The following is a 19,084-nucleotide window of genomic DNA, read 5'->3' on the forward strand; positions in this document are numbered from 1 at the left end:
CCGATCCTCTACCATATTTAAAGTAGAAAGTAAAACAGTACTGTAATTTTCTCTGTTTTAGCCCATTTCCATGTTATATAATGAATGTAATTCCAAGGATGAGCTTACAGTTTGATTTCCATATTAATTCAATTACTGGACTCGCCACTGACTCAGACCTGGAATTAATATAAAATACAGGGAGACACACACAAAAAATGTTCCACTTAAGAAACCAAAACAGCCCTAAGTCAAACCACTCTTACAACACTAGAGTAATATCCAATGAAGCGGCTTCCATTTACAGTGTTTTCCAGACCCCACAAAGTTCTTTTCAGAGTTCTTATATTCCCTAAAATATAACCAAGGTTACTGTAACTTTTGAAGTCACTCTCAAGATGTACCTATCAATAAACAGTAGCTTTTTGTTTTTTTAGTACGGTGGCTGTAAGAAGTTACAAATGACTGTCAGTGTGGTTTCAGGTGGTATTCTTATTAGAAATTTAAAACACGGTGTTATCAAATTTGGCCTAAGTCTGTTCCTTTCAAGGTTATCGTAAAATATGCAGGAAATGTGAAATCCCAAGTGCTTATTAAATTAAACTGGAGAAGTCACTTTTTGAGAGCTCGGTCCTCATGCCCCTCCCCTGCCCCCGTGACAATGGTAGCATTTACCAAGTGCTCTCAGCAGGTGCTGAGTGTTAAGTGCTTCACTTGCATGATGTAACATAATACTCAAAAGAGCTCTGGAAGGTAAGCATTTCTATCAGTATTTTACAGATGATAGGTTTAGGAAAAGGTTAGGGACCTTGACCAAGGTCTCACAACGCCTCTGTGTCAGAGCTGGAATTTGAACCCAGGTCTGATAACTCTCAGAGTGCAAACTCTTAACCACTAAGGACTTGTTCACTTCAGAGGGCTAATTAAGTGTGAAATCAAAAGCAATGAATAATCGCAATTATGCCACTTTTAATTTGAGTCTGTTGCATATACATAATTGGTCTTCCTCTATATTAAGAAGGATGCCCTATAAAAAATTAGAAATTCTGCCAACAAAAACCTCCTGAGGGAAACTAAGAACATCTACTAAATAAATAAATCAAGTGTCTTATTGAGAACACGGCAATACTGAGAGGCTTGGGTGTGGCCACCTGACAGATCTGGAGGAAACCTAGAGGCAAAATGTACCGAATATTCTATTGCACAACAGAATCTATCTGTGGAAAGCACCCCCTAAACGGAAGTATCTGTCAAAGTAAAAATAAATCAGGGTAACAGCATCTAAAAAATATATTGTGAGTGAGATGCATACTTCTCTCATTTACTATGGTACACGAATATACTTAGTTTAATTGTCTTGTTTAAAAAAGAAACAAACAACTTTTCAGCCCAATCTATAAAACTCTGACAAGGACTAACATCACCGTGCAGTCATGAAGCAGGGCGAGCCAGCTGAGGCTTTTGGTAGGGTCTTCTCTGCAATCTGCTTCTACTATGTGATGGGTCACCAGGAGCGCAGGCTCACTGAGGACTCTGCTTTGCATGATGAAGAAATCATCTGGATCTGTTCACAGAGACGGGTCATTCCACTCAAACTCATAAAAGCCAGGCTGACAGATTAACTGAAATGCTTATCAACCAATCTGAGAACCAGAATTTCCCAGAAGAGCAGAGGATTAGGATCAGATTATTCTGTTTTTTAAAAAATTAAAACATTTCCTGAGCACCTACTATGGGTCAGGATCTGTCGTAGGCACTTTTACATTAGTGGTTTCATTTAACTCTCACAACCGATCTTTGGTGTGAGTACTTTTTAAGTACATTTTAGATAGAGGCTGTGGCCTGGAGAGGCAGAGGAACTCTGCTGAGGTCATGCAGTTAGAGGAGCAGCAAAGCTCCCAGAAGAGCACAAGTGCCCCAGTGCTGAGGCTACGGGTCTCACTATGCGGAAAATCACAAAGTTCAGAAGGTGCTGGCAAGGGAGCCCAGTGGTCATAGGTTGCTGTCATCAAGCCTAAAGACTTAAAATGCACTGGTGACATATGGCTGCCAGTTGGGCTGTCATAATCAGGAACATCCCTAAAACTTTCAGGCTCCCCAACTCCTTTTGGTGACTGTCATACAGACCAGCAGCCAGCTGTTTGCTTTTGATATAAATGTGTTCTAATTTCTAAAATGTAAAGTTTAATTATCTACATTTATTTTATTTTATTTTTCCTGATAGAATGTCAGTAGACACACCATGAATTTGTATAGAATGTCAGTAGACACACCATGAATTTGTTTAAGTGTGGGTTAACTTATGGGAATTTTATACATAGCTAACTTCAGTCATTTTTCTGTTGATCTGTGATAGTTTCAGTTTCAAATGATATTTTCTGCCACTGTTCCTTGAAATTCAAATTTTGAGGGTGCTCATTATTTGGTACCCGGGCACTGATTTATTCATATCTATTAAAATACATATATAAAAACAAAAATAAAACACGAAGAAAAAAAGAAAAAAAATACATATACAAGTATACACGGTACAAAATTGTGTGCCATACTGTGTACTCATTCATGACCAAAAGACACTGATCATTTGTAAGCTTATTCTAGTAAACTGAATAAAATAATATAGCTAATATTTTATACTTACTTTTTCTGCTCCTACTGAAAAACTGGACATCTTAATAGTTACTTCATACTACCAATCTAGTAATAAGGTCTGGTGGCCCCAAAATGAAAAAAAAAAAAAAAAAAAGCGAAAGGGGACTGAGTATTTACGTTTTTTAGCATTGGATTAAAAAAAAATAAAAAACAACATCAGTTTCCAAAGGCTAGCTCTGAACATTTTGCCTCCTCTTGACCTTAAATTGTGGGCTCACCCTGGAGAATAAATCTTAATAGTGAATTATACATAGCAACTTTGAAGACAAATAATATTAGTGCAGCCTACCCGTAATTACTCTCTTTTTACAAAGTTTCCTAAGAAAACAGAGCCAAAATGCTTAAAATTTAAACAGAAACAGAGAGAGTAAATGGCTGTGAAACATACACATATAGAAATTTATATTGTATATTTACATTTGGTCTAAAAGCAACTTCTTAAAATTCACCAACAGAAAAAAACAAATACATTTTTTGGAGAGAAGCAACAATGTAGGTAAAGATCACAGATTGTTTAAAAGGCATATCTAAACATCTAAGAGACAGTCTTTGTTTAAATTGAACTAGGATTTCCTGGAGAGTAGTAAAATGTTGTTTCAGTATAGTGAATGTGCAAGTTAACACTTCAAGAGTGGGCTTCCGGCCGGGCGCGGTGGCTCACGCCTGTAATCCCAGCACTTTGGGAGGCCGAGGCGGGTGGATCATGAGGTCAGGAGATCGAGACCATCCTGGCTAACAAGGTGAAACCCCGTATCTACTAAAAATACAAAAAATTAGCCGGGCGCGGTGGCGGGCGCCCGTAGTCCCAGCTACTCGGGAGGCTGAGGCAGGAGAATGGCGTGAACCCGGGAAGCGGAGCTTGCAGTGAGCCGAGATTGCGCCACTGCAGTCCGCAGTCCGGCCTGGGCGACAGAGCGAGACTCCGTCTCAAAAAAAAAAAAAAAAAAAAAAAAAGAGTGGGCTTCCTTTGGCTTCAAACTAAACAGCTGGACAGGGGATGCTACTTAATTCTTTTTCTTCCCTACCAGAAGGAGGAGGTGCTCAAGTATTTTTCTTTATTCTTTCATCTGTTTATCTGCTGAGCAATAGGGATCTTGCTTCAGGTTGGTTAATCTGCTGAGCCATGACACATATGAGAAGGTTCTCTGGCAGGACAGTATGCTCTCCAAACAGAGACTATGGCAGTGAAAGAACCAAAGATATATCATCTCCCCTCTGAAGCCTCTGCTTCTTTGGGGTAGGAATTGGTCTATTAACTCTGAGCATTTTTTTTTTAAAGATGGAGTCTTGCACTGTCACCTGGGCTGGAGTGCAACGGCATGATCTCGGCTCACTGCAACCTCTGTCACAGGGGTTCATGTGGTTCTCTTGCCTCAGCCTCCCGAGTAGCTGGGATTACAGGTGCACACCACCACACTCGTCTAACTTTTTGTATTTTTAGTACAGACAGGGTTTCACTATGTTGGCCAAACTGGTCTTGAACTCCTGACCTTGTGATCCGCCCTCCTGGGCCTCCCAAAGTGGTGGGATTATAGGCGTGAGCCACCGCAAGCAGCCAACTCTGAGCATTTTTAGGCACTAACATTCCAAGCGTCTGAGATTCCAAATAGGAAAGTGCTATTTTAAATGACTCTTTAAGCTACCATTACAGATAACTGTAAGAAATATTCAGGCCTGAAAAAATGTTCATTCATCACCAAAATGTGAATCACTTCTAATTGATTTACTATTTCTGCTCTTCTGCTAATAACAGAATTTTGTCACTATCCACAAACATTCCAGAACACTTATCTTACAGAACAGAAAAGCAGTTGTCTATAGTAAAAACACTCCAAGTTTCCCTTACATGTCACACTGTAGAAAGGAAACAAAACCCATTTATTTTCTCAACTATCTTGCCTGTGATAGTCTGTGTACGATAAAATTTATAGAAAACTAAAATGCTAGAGTCCCTACAGACTTCAAAGATAATCTGGCCCACTGATTTCTTTGTAAGCTGAAGCCCCTTGGCGAATCTGATGGGAGCTATGAACCATTCTCCCTCCAGAAAAATGTATATGCATACCAAATATTGTATTCACTTCCCAGCATTTTAGAGACAACCCCTGAAGCCAACCTAGGCTAAGACCCCAGACCAACGACTCTGATCTAATTCCACTGCTTTGTTTCACATATGGAGACACCAAGTTCCAAACAGGGGATGTGGCTTGGCCATAATTGCTCGGCAGAAACTATGAGAAAGTAAACTGGATGAAACTGAAAATGATGCAGATAGCAACTCTGAACCATCACAAATCAGGCCTATCATTTTGCTAGGAAAGGAGAAAAGGTGAAGTGTTTCAAGAGGAGAGCTTTCTTTCATTTTAGGTTTCTGGTTGAGCTTCTCACTGGTTTTCTTCATCTTGCCTTCGGGCCAGGCCCATCCGTGACTTAAGGCTACCTTTTCTTGTGTTTGCTTCTGTAAATCAGTAAGACCTGCATAACCTGGCCACATTCAGAAAGGAGGGCAAGTGTGAGAGTGTGAAGTAGAAACCAGTTTTAAGGAACTGTAAGAGTTCTAAAGAACTCTAATTTGGTCACATAATGGATATTTAAGAAGTATTCTGAATCAAACACTGCTCACATATTTAAGGAAGTGGCAGTCTACTAAACTGTCACCGAGTAAAAGTCCTAGAGACTTGCTTTAATGATTAGATGGAACAAATTTTCAACTACTGCATTCATCCGCACATTTGCAAATGGCTCATTCTTTTAAGAACTAAAACATTCATTCTGGGATTTTGTATTTGTGTTTAGTTCATTGCAAATTTACTCAATATATTTCGAATTCAATTCAACAAATACGCTTAGGACATTCCAATGTGACGGAATGGAAACGTGCATGGATTTTGGAGTCACTAAGATCCAAATTCAAATATTGGATCTGCTTTATCTAGACACGTGATTATTGGGCTCATTACTTAAGGGTCTCTGCGTTTCCCCATCTGTAAAGTGGGAATAATACCAACTACTGTGCAAATTGGGTTTGAAAATTAGCAATAATATAGTCTATTGTAAAGAGGCTAATGCAGTATCTGGCAAACAGGGATTCCATAAAATGGTAATACTTAAAATAATGATTATTTATCAAATATCTACAAAGGACAAACTTCATCCTAGACCCTTCTCTAAAATCTGAATTCATAATATCAAAATGAATGAGGATTTAATTCATTCTTAAAATGACTCGAATACTTGCTAAGATTTTGACATATTAAAAACTATAACCATTATAAATGAAAAGGCCACTGTTCAAATGACTAGCTTTGCTACAGTACAACTGTCAGTTTTTTGACCAAAAGGAAATTTATAATACCATTGGTGGGTTTTAAGTCTTTAGGTAAAAACTGTGTTTTAAAGTAACAGAACAATAAGACAGCAATATAGTGGTTTCTTAATGACTAAAATCTTACATTACATATTATGGTTCAGTATTAATGTGCTTTCACACTACCTACTGAGTTTTCAGACTGCAACTACTTATCCTTTTCAAATTGCTATCACTCTCTTTTTCATGGGAGATTTCTTACAAATTCCTTGGAGAATCCAAAAATTTACAGTGGAAATTTTTTCTCGATTCCTTTTTTTTTTTTTAAAGAATAAACCTATTCAACAGGTAAATCTAAATAATTTTTAGCAGTTCTAAATGTAGAGAATTCATAACTTCTTATTGTAATTGAAAAGGAACATACAAAGCAATTAGTCACTTACAAAACCCACGTTCAACCTTCAAAATAATGACTAACTTGATAGGAGAGGCAAGACTTCTTTAATTAAATACTAAAGTCTAGCCATTTGAGATAAGCAAAGCAGGTTATACAACCGTCTTCTGCACTCACAATATCCTTTTCTCCCTCTTGGAAATATATCATTTTTCAGCAATAGTAGAACATGTAACAAAAAAAGTTACTGTACTGTAGAAAATCACTCTAACCACAAGCTAAGTTTTTGGCTAAGAGTTAAACTTCATTCATTTGGATTTCACTAGTTTCACAAGAAGAAAAAGTGATTAACCCTAGTGTAAGTAAAATTCCCTTGAGAATATATTAGATTCTTAAGAAAACAAAACAGTAAGCAACCTTAGGCACTCACTTACATATAAATCCTTAGGGTGTTAACTGAAAAGCATTCCTAGCCATGCTAGAATAGGATTCTCAAACTTGAACACTGATTACCTTTTTGAGAGCTCTCTGGACAGGTGTGCTCAGAAGCACTGGAAGATACAGGAGAGTTTGATACACATTCTGAGAAAGATGGGGTGGCTCCTGTGTGTGCATGTGGCCATCTAGCACAATCACTATTCAGCACGGGACTACATTTCCCAGGCCACTTCACCTCCAGGTGCAGCCACGTGACTAGTGCTCAACAAAGGAATATGAGAAAAGATGGTGCTTTACTTCAAGGCGACTGTGATTAAGAAGTGAGGTGCAGACAATTGCAAGATGGTGTTACAGGATGAATTATGTCCCCTCAAAATTCACATGGTGAAGTCCTAACCCCCAGTACCTCAGAAAGTGACCTTATTTGAAAATAGGACCATTACAGATGTAATTAGTTAAAATGAGGTCATACTGGAAGAGAGTGTGCCCCTAATCCAATATGACTGGTGTCCTTATAAAAAGGGAAAATTTGGATACACACAGGAAAAGAGGGAAGATGATGTGAAGAGACTCGGGAAAAGGTGACCTTCTACAAGCCAAGGAGCAAGGCCTGGAAGAGATCCTTGCCTCACAGTCCGCAGAAGAAACCAACCCTGCTGACACCTTGATCTTCGACTCCTAGTCTGCAGAACTGTGTGACCACACATTTCTGTTGTTTAAGCCACCCAGTCTGTGGTACTCTGTTACAGCAGCCTGAGCAGACAAAATAGATGGTGAGGCCAGAAGACGGAAGGCACCTGAGTTCAGGATTCCTGAATCACCTCTCAATAAAAGCACTTCACTGATCAGAAATACTTCCACTGGGCTGAGAGCTGAGCAAGAAAGGAAACTAGTTGTGTCAAACCATTCAATTTTGAGGGCTTATCTGTTATACCAGCTGTCATTACCTACTATAGGACCTAATTAATTTAAGTGGCAAGTAATTTTAAATTATTTTACATGAAAACAAACATGGACCTATCACATATCACAGGGAACAATCCATGTAAAATTTTAGGATTAAAAACACTTCAAAGAAAATTTGAATTTACAGGAAGATATTTTGGGGTAAATTCTCTCAAATCCTCCATAGGGTATAAATTTACTCTCTTCTGCCAATAGAAGTAGAATTTCCTCAAGAATATTAAACAAGTCACAATGTCAAAGTTGCTGGAACTTCAACTACGCCACATAATCCACTTAATTTTTTTTTTTTGAAATTAAGTGGAGCATTTCTATCAAGTAGCCCAAGTATGTAAAATTTTACTTGGGTACTAAAGATGAGAACACTGTGAAATGAGTTATCAGCCTTTTCCAAAGTTCTCAATATTTTTATAATCAATCTGAAAAGAAGTCACTAGGTACAGAATACCTTCTGTTTGAATATGGACAAAAAATGTACCCTCTTTTATGACAGGGTAACTGATACAGAATAAATACTGGATACCATTTTCCATTTTTGATTTTTTTTTTCTGACATGAAGAAAAAATGAAATGATAACTATCTTCGGTAAGACTTAGAGTTATAGTTCAAAATACCTCAAAAGCCGAGCTGGCAGCTGGCTTCTCATGTTTATAGAAAAGCTAGGATGATTCAGCCTGAGCTCAGAGCTCAATTTAGATCATAGCATCTGGATTCAAAACACATGTGAGATGTGGCAGCCGATTTTCAGGTCATGACTGATCCAAGACAGAGATTGCAGACCACTCACCAGCATTATTCCAAATGGAGAAAGTGCCTGAGAGAAACAGAAGTCTCAAAGGTATTTGGAAGCCCACTCCAAACTGTTAGGGAACAGGTAACATCAGCATTTTCTGCATCCAGCAGCTTTAAGCAGGTGCCGCAGAAGCCAAGGGCCTGAGGATGACACTGAACAGCTTTGTCATGACATTCAGCCTTGCCATGGTCAGAAAACATCCCTCACCCATGACTTCTTTCCTGAACTGGCTATTGTTCAGATTAAACTATGGGAATCTGGTAATAAATTGGAAAACCTCTGACAGCACACACTTCCTGCTAAGATCTGTGTTTAACTTTGCTTTGTTTCGAAGAGAAAAACTGTAGTAAAGAAAAAGGAAAAATAAATGTAAATGCCCTTTTTCTTGATGAGAAGAAATCATAGTCACAGTAATTCTAATATAAACTACACAATGAAATCTAAAAGAAGAGGGGAAAATCCCCAGCTCAGTTTCAATCTCTATTGGAATTCACCTTGTGCCTTCCTTGATTTTCCTTGGATATGACATGTCCAGATGTGGGTGATTCTGCAGCTATGGATTTTATGTGCAATAAAAAAATGCTTCTCCTGCTGCTTTTCCTCACCTCCCCCCTCCCCCATCTCTTTTCCTCTCTCTCCTCCTTGTCTCTTTGTTGTGAATGTCAGGGCTGTCAGTGTCACAGTCTGACATGATTAGCGTTTCTGACATTACACCAAGAAGCAGACAGAGAGCAAGGAGAGCGAGCAGAGGGGAAGGCAGTTATGAGTAGCCATTTAAAGAAGTCCAAGGAAAAAACAAGCACAACCACCTTTCTCTGAGGTTCCTTGATTACAGGGCAGTTTATAAATCACCTTGGATTTTTCTCATTTATCCTATTAGTCTGTTTTCCTGTTCCTCTGGAGATCCCTAAGGTGTGGATCTAGTCTGTGAGATCAAAGCCAGCGGCTCTAATAACAGATAAGACAGAATTCGTGATTCAGCGGATTCTAAGGTTGTGAAGTGTAACAATCAGCGCACTTTGGGAAGATAGCGCCAGTCCATTTCGAGTATTGATTCGCTGCACTTTGTCACTCTAATGATGTTATCTCATTAAAAGAGATAAATGCCCCACTGTTCTTCTAAGAGCATCTGCTTCTTACTCTTCTCTCTTTTTCAACAGCATGGCTCTCAGCAGCAGCACATTAAAATCAAATTGAAATCCAATGCAAGGCTTGGCTACAGAGCAGCTAAGGTATCTTTTTAATTGCTTTTTCCTACTCTCAACCCCCTTCCAGCTCCTCCACTACAGTCCTTCAAAGAAACAAGCAACATAAAGAGAAAGAGATGTAGAAAGTAATCATAATAGAAAGCATTTGCTGAGTGTCTGTTACATAGGGACTCCACTGTGTCAACATTTAACTTATTCCTACCTTGTTAGATAGGTAGAACAATCCTCAGTTTGCAAATAAAGAAACGGAGTTTTGACTTTAGGTAACTTGCCCAAGATCATGAAGGTAGCGAGAGAATGAGCCACAATTTGAACAAGGGTCCATTCAATGCAAGTACTTTTTTTTTTTTTAATCTCCATTTCATTCATGGAACAAATAAGAAAATATGATTGCAACTTGATTAGAATAGGTGAAAAAATGTAAAAGAAGGTAGCAATTATTCTTCAGCCTGCTAATAGCCAAGAACACAATGCCATAGGTTTTGTTTCAACAGATTTCTTATTAAATAAAAAAGGTAGCAATTTTTCATAATGAATGTTTTATACATTATTCCTTTGTGTATCAGGCCTCTAAAGTACACATTATTAAAGTCTATTAAAGTCTGTATTTAGCAGCATTACTAATGTGCCTTTGGGGAAATTATTACAATGAAACAGCATCAGTCTTTCACAAAATTTCAATTGTTTAATATTCCTTTTCTTATCTTCAATACACGTGTCTATTTTTAGCTATAATCAGACCTCATCCCAAATGCCGTAATCCCAGCCTAGAGCTGTCACAGCAAATTGTTTATGGGTTGGATTTAAGAAATAACAAGAAACACAGACATTGTTAATTTCACCCAACACTTTTTTTTTCATGATTGGTTGCAGTTTTCCTACAGTTCTCATTAACAGGTGCTCCTTGATCACTATGACACGCGATGATACTTTATCTCTCTGGTTAGGGTTGGTTATCTTAATTAATTGCTTATATTTATATTTAACTGAAACTAGCCTCAAGATGCCACTTTATTAAAGTTTGAGAGTGGTAAGAAATTACAAAACTATTCCATTAAAAAAAATAGAAAAGAAAACCAAATAAACCAGAAGAACATATAAACTATGATTAGTCAAATCAAATCTCTGCATTTAAAAGTAAACATCATTTACTAGATGTCTACTGGACTAGAAATATGTGTCTTCTGAACAGTAACTGAGGAGTTTCTGCAAATTATTCTGCAAATTGTAAATAGGCATCTCTACCTTTTTATTACATTAATTTTATCACACAGTATGAAGTTTTTTTAAAAACAAAGCCAATGATGTACATATATTCAAAAGCACAAGATTCTCTGAAAATATAGAAAATACTGCTAGGCTTATTTTACGAAGACAAAGGACAATAGGAAGCTGGGAAGAATACCAGCAAACAGCTATACGTTATAAGGCCTCTGTATCACAAAAATGAAGGGAAAATAAAGCCAATCTAAAGTATTACGTACTTAAATTAATAAACTGGATTGGAAGCAATCATTCCATTATAAATTTCCTTTCATACATAGCAATCCCACTGAGATGATACCTTTGTAAAATCAGGCAAAAATCAATTGTTAATATTCTAGAGATGGACAAACCACAGATTAAGTACCTAAATAATCATGTTTCCAATCACCAATTAACTAAGTAGAATTCTCTTAATTGTATCTATTAAGGCCTACTAATTGACAGAAAAAGGGCAGAGTTGAGGACTTGGAGAAAGAAGACAGAAGCATTCCTCTGCCTGATTCATAAAGGTCAGAATCCCCTGGCCGTTGTTGTAGGAACCCAGCCATCACCAGTCACAAAGAAAAAGGCAGCAGCACACTTTGAGTATCCAAAGGGCCTCTTTACTGAGGCTGCATGGCTGTTGTGGGCTTAGTCCAACATGATGATGTAGGACAAGAACCTACCAGTTCAATCAACATGCAATTAAAACTCCTGATGAAGGACGGCCCAGGGCAGTCCATTGGTTTGGGGCAGGGGACGCAGAGAAGCAAAGCCTGTTTTAATTAAGAAAATACTAGGCACTCCTCTTTAAATCCTCAAAAAATGAGGATGAACAAGATTCCAAAACCAACAATCACAATGTGTGTGAAAGTACCAGCAACAAGAATGAAGTGGGACTGAATATGTGCTTTCCTACAAATGAAACCTGTTTGATGGTGTAAGGAAAATGGATGAGCTGTGGTCAAGAATAGGCCGAGGCAGACATCTAGTCCAGCATGACTCAGCGAGTTTGGAGTGCAGGCACACAGCTCTGCCTGTTATGTAACCATGCCATGTGAGGTGCATTAAGTAACCACTCATGTGTGCTCATGCTTGACTCGGAGCCACTATTGTCTGTAAAAGGTATAATTACCCTGCTAATGCTGTATGTAACGGCTTGCACCTGTGGCTCATCCTCAGGCTTGTACCCATGGCTTGCTTGTGCCCATGGCTTGCTTGCACCCACAGCTCCCGTGTGTCCAGAGAATAAAGCCATGTTGAAATGCCCCCATGATTCCTTGACTGGTCTTTCAGCTGCCTGCCACTCATCCACCGACTCTCCTCCGACCTCAGTTAGAACCCGACAGATGGTCAGTAGCTGCAGCCATATTTCAAAGAAGTTATCATGATTCACAGCTAGGCCTCTCAGACTTGAAATTATATTACAGTCATGTCAAAACAGATCCTTTCTTCTCTGGGGCCTATAGGGTCTTAACACAAAGTCCAGCTTTTCTATTCCGAAGACTTAATTTACCTCCTACCTCTTCAGACTCTCCTTCATCTTTTCTGACATTATCAGATGTTAAGTCAGGCCACATGACCCTTTCACTCAAGACAAGGCATTGCCATATCCATATGACACGGTAGTGGGTGCACAGAGTCTCAGGGCTAGAGCTCACTTTGAGGTGCTCCAACACAATCATTCATCAGATGCTCAAACTCTCTGTACAAAAAGGTTCAGATTTTCAGCATAAGCCCTGGAACATGAAGACTGTGATATGGTTTGGCTGTGTCCCCACCCAAATTTCAAACTGTAGCTCCCATAATTCCCACATATCATAGGAGGGACCTGGTAGGAGGTAATTGTTAACTGAATCATGGGGGTGGGTCTTTCCCATGCTGTTCTTGTGACGGTGAATAAGTCTCATGAGATCTGATGGTTTTATAAAGGGGAGTTCCCCTGCACATGCTCTCTCTTGCCTGCTGCCATGCAAGATGTGACTTTGACTTCACTCCTCCTCACCTTCCATCATGATTGTGAGGCCTCCGATGTAACTGTGAGTCCATTAAACCTCTTTTTCTTTATAAATTACCCAGTCTCAGGTATGTCTTTTATTAGCAGTGTGAGAACAAGCTAATGCAGACTGCTTCTTGGAGAAGTAGACACCAGCCAGTGCTTCACCACACACTGCTCTGAGATTTGGTGGTGAGCCATGCACACAAAGAGAGAACAACGGAAATGTGTTTCTGGTTAGACAGAAAGGAGGAGAAGAGATGGGACTGACGTAGAAGCATTACCATAGTTCCATAGTCAAGATGACTGTGTACAAAGAGAAGTCTACGTAACTTAGGAAGCAATCCTCTGGAATGTATATGTTTCATACATATTTACACACACACGCACACATTATATGCATGCACGCATTTTAAAGACAAATGAGCGTTAACATATTCAGTTAATTATTTTAAATTTATCTTATCTCTCTTTCATGCCAAATCGACCCTCTACTCAATTACATGGTAAGTTGTATTTTAAATTTGCACTTCCATACCTCTCAGAAGGGAGTTATAGTGCTATTTTCTTCCGGAAACTTCACAGAATTTCCCAGTACAAGGCAGGTGGAGACAGAGTCTGGAGGTCTAACTTGCCCTTTAACATTTCCATGCACCTCACATTCGACAGGACTCAATGTACACGTAACAGAGGGGCTACAGTGGCCTGGTGCCAGCAATGTTTCTTTTTGGCTTCACAAACTCTATAAAAATGAAGTTTTTTGAAGAGCTAAGGGAAATTATTCCTTAAAAATGTAGAAAGTGAGAATAGAAGTGCTACAATGTCCAAGGGCACTCACTGACCAGGACTGAGGGTCCAGATTCTTGTTAGAGGAAAGCCTGCCACATATAAGACATAGGCACAGTCTAACTCAGTCGTTTTCAAACTCATCTCACGGCCCTTTTACAGGCTCACAAATGATCGCAGACCCTAAAGAGCTTTTGTTTATGTGAGTTGTTTCTATCAGTGTTTACCATACTGGAGGTTAAACCCAAGAAAGTTTTGCAACATGAAGACACAGGCACACATCCCAGAAGTGATGTCATTGCATGTCACAGTCTCTTTAAACACCGTTGTGTATAGTCAAGAGAGAAAGGGTGAAACAGGTAAATTGTATCTTAGTATTATTATAAAAATGGCTTTTATCTTGCAGGCAGACAGCCTGAAAGGGTCTAAGGGTGCCCCTCCCAAGGGTCCCTAAACCATAGTTTGGGAACCACTGGTCTAGTTCAAACTTGTACACATCGGCAGTGTCTTTGAACACGTAAATGAAGAAATGGCACAGTACCGAGTAAGAGGATGTACTGTTAATTTTTAAAAATTGAGGCACTGAATCAAATGATGGCATCTTTTTCTAGAGCATTTCTCTACTCACTACTGCCCCCAAACCATTAGTAAATTAAAATGATCCTTCCTGGTAATATGCCAAGCAGAATGACCCTAGGTCCAAATCTCTGTTTTGACCACTCTCTGTTTTCTATCTGCTCACTAAATATCTTCATCCATTTGCACCTCAAATGCAAAACAGCTAAAATAGTACTTATTTTTTAAATGTTTGGTTACTAATCTGGTTGTTAATGAAATACACAAATATTGTAGAAAAGCTGAAAATACCAAAAAGTATTTTTTAAAAAAGAAAGAAAGGTGTCCTATGTTTCCACCCTCTGGGAAGGCCATGGTCAACATTCTGGGCAATAGCCTTCCGGTCTTTTTATCATGTATATTTTAAAAATGCAATGAAGTTCATATTTTAAAGATAATTAGTATATTTTATTTAAAAATATTTTTAGTATGAAAGAAATGCACATTGCTTAAGAAAATCTAGAACATACAAGCAAAATAAAGATAATGCTCATAATATGTTGATGTGTATAAGCAATCTTTATTCTGTGTGCATACTGTACCTTTTTTTAAAAAATGAAATGATTAGACTGCACATGCTGTTATATAACTTGTCTTCTTCGCAATTTATTTAGAACATCTTTTTATGTCACTCAGTATTCCTCAATCCCTCCTTGGCATTTTTATTATATGGCTGTACTATGGTTATTCAAAAATTACTATTTTAAGAATATTGTGATGAACATTTTAGCTAAACTTCTGAACACATCCATGGCGGTTCTCTTTGAGTTAATGTTCTAGAAATGGAAATTCTGGGACAAAAGGTATGTCAATTTTTTAGGCGTTGATACACCTTATTTAAGTCCCCTTAAGAAAGGTGTTCTTTCATTAACTGTGTATGACAGAGCCTGATGTTCCCTACTCCCAACTTCACTGGGTAAATGTTACAAATCTTCATCAATTGTATAGGTGAAAAATACTATCTCATCATTTTAATTTGCATTTCTTTGATTGCTGTTGAGGTTGAACATTTTTCTTCTATTTTGTTGATCATATTTCTTTCTTTGTTGGTCTTACCTTTCTGTTCTTGGCCCATTTTCTATTAGTGTAATTATCTTTATGTTATAAATCTATATTAATTTGTAAGAACTCTTAATAACTCTTTCTCATACATGGGTAAATACTGCCCCAGCTTGTCTTTTATCTTTCAGAATAGTTCAGAATGTCTTTTGATTGAAAGAAGTTCTGAGGTGTTACATAGCTAAGTACATTCTCTTCCTTGATAATTTCTGACACTAGAAATTAATAAGGCCTTCTTTATTCTAAGATCATTTAATTTTTAGTTGTATTTTCTTCCATGTCACAAGTTTAGACCTTGCAATAGCTCTTCAAAGTCTGCCACAAGGAGGACCTGGCCAATGCCTTCAGAAAAATGACTGTTGAGGCTTATTAAATATAGATTGGACATTTGGTGAAACAAACCATTGAGGGTGTCCTGGAAAGGAGAGAGATCTTTTATGTTTATTATTCACCAATTCCTTACACAACCTCCAGTAGCTCTGTTAACTTGCTCTTTAAGAAGTTTAAAATGAAAAAAGTGTTCATATTAGGTTTATGTTAAAATATTAAACCAGTGGGCGTGATGACTCTTCTTACCTTTGCCAGAACAGCAGCTGTCTTAGATAGAAAATACCTTTGCTACGTTCATAATGTATTTCTTGCAAGCACAGTGCATGGCATATAGTATGCACTTGACAAATATGTGTTGGAGCTGATGTTTTACCAACTAGAGCTCTGTATATGCCAGGTTTGGGGTGAGAGAGGCAGGGATAATAAAGTCTGGACTTCACAGCTTCATATGAAGGAGGTGCAATGAAAGAAAAACTCCAAATGAAGGTAGAAACTAAATTTCAGTTTTACTTTTTAGTTGACTGTAGAGATACTGATCTGCGTGTAAACGTGAAACTGCCTCAGACCTGGGACAGTAGGATGTGGTGCTGAATACTGGAAAATATTCAGAGAAAAAAAAATTCTGCTGGGCAGATCATTAAGCAAAACAGTGGCATCCACCCACTAAAAGAGACAAGGGGCACTACTCTACTTCATTTGGATGCTTTGGCATTTGTCCAAAGCAATAAAAATCAGATCCAGCTTGATCTGAACATAACAAGGAAGAAACAGTTCTCAAGAAGATCCTTTTTCATGATGGGGGAAGAGAGAGGGTCATTTTGTATAATAATGGAAAAATCAATTATTTTTCAATCAGATGGAGTGTCCTCATAAATTTAAAGCACAGAACAGCATGTGACATGCCTTCATAAAAAACAATGACCATGAGGGAGAAGAGTAAAGGATCATAATCCCAAAGTTGCTACTAAGAAGGAAAGATCTTTCAAGAGAAGAACAACACTTTTCTTGCTAGTGTGTTTTCTGTGAATGTACACAGTGGTCAGTATGCACTGAACGTACACCATCCTGCACAATTTGCCTCTACAGAATCCTGTTCAATTGGCTTCCCATTTGGCTATGGCTTTTAAGTGACACACTGAAATCCTTTCTCTATAGCATGATAATGCAGCAGTAACACAGATAAACCAGAAATGTTGGTTTTTCTTACTGGCAAATATACTATATGTAATATATATTTACACATATTAGCAAGAAAATAACCAAGAAAGTAGTAGAAATACTTTTGACAGAATTTAAAAGTTAAATTTTGGCCAGGTGAGGTGGTTCACACCTGTAATCCCAGCATTTTGGGAGGTTGAGATGGGAGGATTGCTTGAGTCCAGGGGTTCCAGACCAGCCTGGGTAACATGGCGAAACCCCATCTCTACAAAAAATACAAAAATTAGCCAGGTATGGTGGCACACACCTGTAGTCCCAGCTACTCAGGAGGCTGAGGTGGGAGGATTGCTTGAGTCCAGGAGGTTGAGCACTCCAGCCTGGGTGACAGAGCAAGACCCTCTCTCTCTCTCTCCAAAAAAAAAAAAAAAAAAAAAAAAAGAGTTAAATTCTAATTATGAAGTTTTTGATCAACATAAAGATTGGAAAGTCAGCTCTTGCAAAAAGCTGCGAAGAATGTATGAACACTGGAAAGATGGTCAAGTCTGCATGAGGGTTTGGGAGAATGCACACCCTGGGAAAATATGTGCCCCACAATTTCTTTAACATGTAAGAATTTACAATGGTTGTCAGAATTTACAACCATTAATGCCTGTTTACAATATTTAAAAGGTGAATAAATAAATATGAGGCTGTCTACTCTGTGTAAACCCATGAGTTTGTTATCATATTCCACGTACACTAACATATTCCCTGTAGACTGGCCTCAGGGATGACAGCAGATTCTTGATGGGCCTTATGCGCAGGAATGCCCTCTGCTTCTCTTTTTAGCTGGCACTGATACACCAACATGCGAGCTATCCAAAGTCCCAAAGTACACCCCTTTCTGGTGTTTCCTCAGACCCTGGCACAGATAGGAGTTCAAGAATGTGAGGAATGAAGGCCCTACCTGATGGACAGCAACTCATGAGGTATCAGGGTAGTCCTGTTAAATTAGTGCGGCCAACTGCTAATCCTTTTGTGGCACGGGATTTGGGGGATTCTGTGTTTTCTAGAGGGATGGTCTCTAATGGATTCAAAAGAGAGCTGTCAATGTCTAACTGCAATCAGCATCGCCCTGGCACTTCAAAGGAATAACAAGGACCCTAGAACGCCAGGGCCACCCTCCATCCGAACACCTCCCTAACTGAAGTGCCCCGTCAGTGAGCTGGGATTTAGGAAGAAAGGAGAGCATTACAGTGTGTGTCTGAGGAAGAGGAGAGTGCACAATTCGAATGTCTCCAACTTTCTAGGAACAAATCCACTTAGAACGTCAGTCACACCCACAACAATATTTCTAGCACTCCAACTAACACCATAATTGAGGAGGAGATTCTCTGGTTTTATTCATGCTGAGAAGAGCTGTTTCCTCCCCAGAGAGTGACCTATTCTTTGTCTTATGCCAAGAAAGCCATAAGAAAAATGCTGACCTATGAAGGTGACACATCATGCTTAATCACTACTTTCAATTAAAACAATATAAAATAAAGAACGTACTGAGCCACTCAGGCAGAACATAATATCCCAAGCAACAGACACACCTACTGAGACTTGACATTTCCGAGGAGTCTGGTTCCCAGCTGTGTGTGGAGAGTGAATCCATGACATTAGATGTTGGGTTGCCCTGGAGAAACTTAGGGCGGAGCTGTCACAGCAAACTGCATTTGCTGATAACAGATTTCCCGAGTTGCCTTAGCTTTTCAATACACCAAACTCCAAATACTAGGAGCCAAAAAAGGTTTGCAGCCATGGATCTCCCCTCATCCCCACCTCCAGTCATGACCCTGGGGCAGAACACCTGCCTACTTTCCAGTATTCTAGCAGCTAACTTCTCAAAGGAGGCTTAACGCCAAGTGTTTAAGCTGGGGTGGGGTTGAAGCGGGAAAACTCAGCACTGGTTTCTTTCTCTTTGGCTCAGCTCAGCCAAACAAAAACTCCTCAAAAACAATTGCTTGTTTTTTTGCTGGTCTCTTCAGATAGGATAAAGCGGCCAGAGTCTCCCATAAAACTTGCATCTAGGGAAAGAGGGTAAGTGCACAGAGGGCTTTTCCAGCTTTCTCCCACCCCTGAAGCTGCCCAGGGCCCTTCGTGCCCATGAGAAGGCTGAGTAAATGACCATGAGAA

General features: G+C 38.9%; 1 protein-coding gene across 2 annotated transcripts in view, besides 1 other annotated feature; it reads right to left on the bottom strand.

Moving 5' to 3' along the window:
* Nucleotides 1-19,084, bottom strand: part of BACH2 (BACH transcriptional regulator 2) — a 370,316-nt gene that overhangs the window by 259,527 nt on the left and 91,705 nt on the right. The window lies entirely within an intron of this gene.
* Nucleotides 8,576-8,870: a silencer, noted in NCBI's record as "tiled region #6453; K562 Repressive non-DNase unmatched - State 23:Low". NCBI's record gives its function as "represses a minimal TATA promoter and a strong SV40 promoter by Sharpr-MPRA in K562 cells {active_cell/tissue: K562}" and the evidence as "EXISTENCE:reporter gene assay evidence [ECO:0000049][PMID:27701403]".

Source organism: Homo sapiens, chromosome 6 (assembly GCF_000001405.40).
Source record: "Homo sapiens chromosome 6, GRCh38.p14 Primary Assembly".
Taxonomy (NCBI): domain Eukaryota; kingdom Metazoa; phylum Chordata; class Mammalia; order Primates; family Hominidae; genus Homo; species Homo sapiens.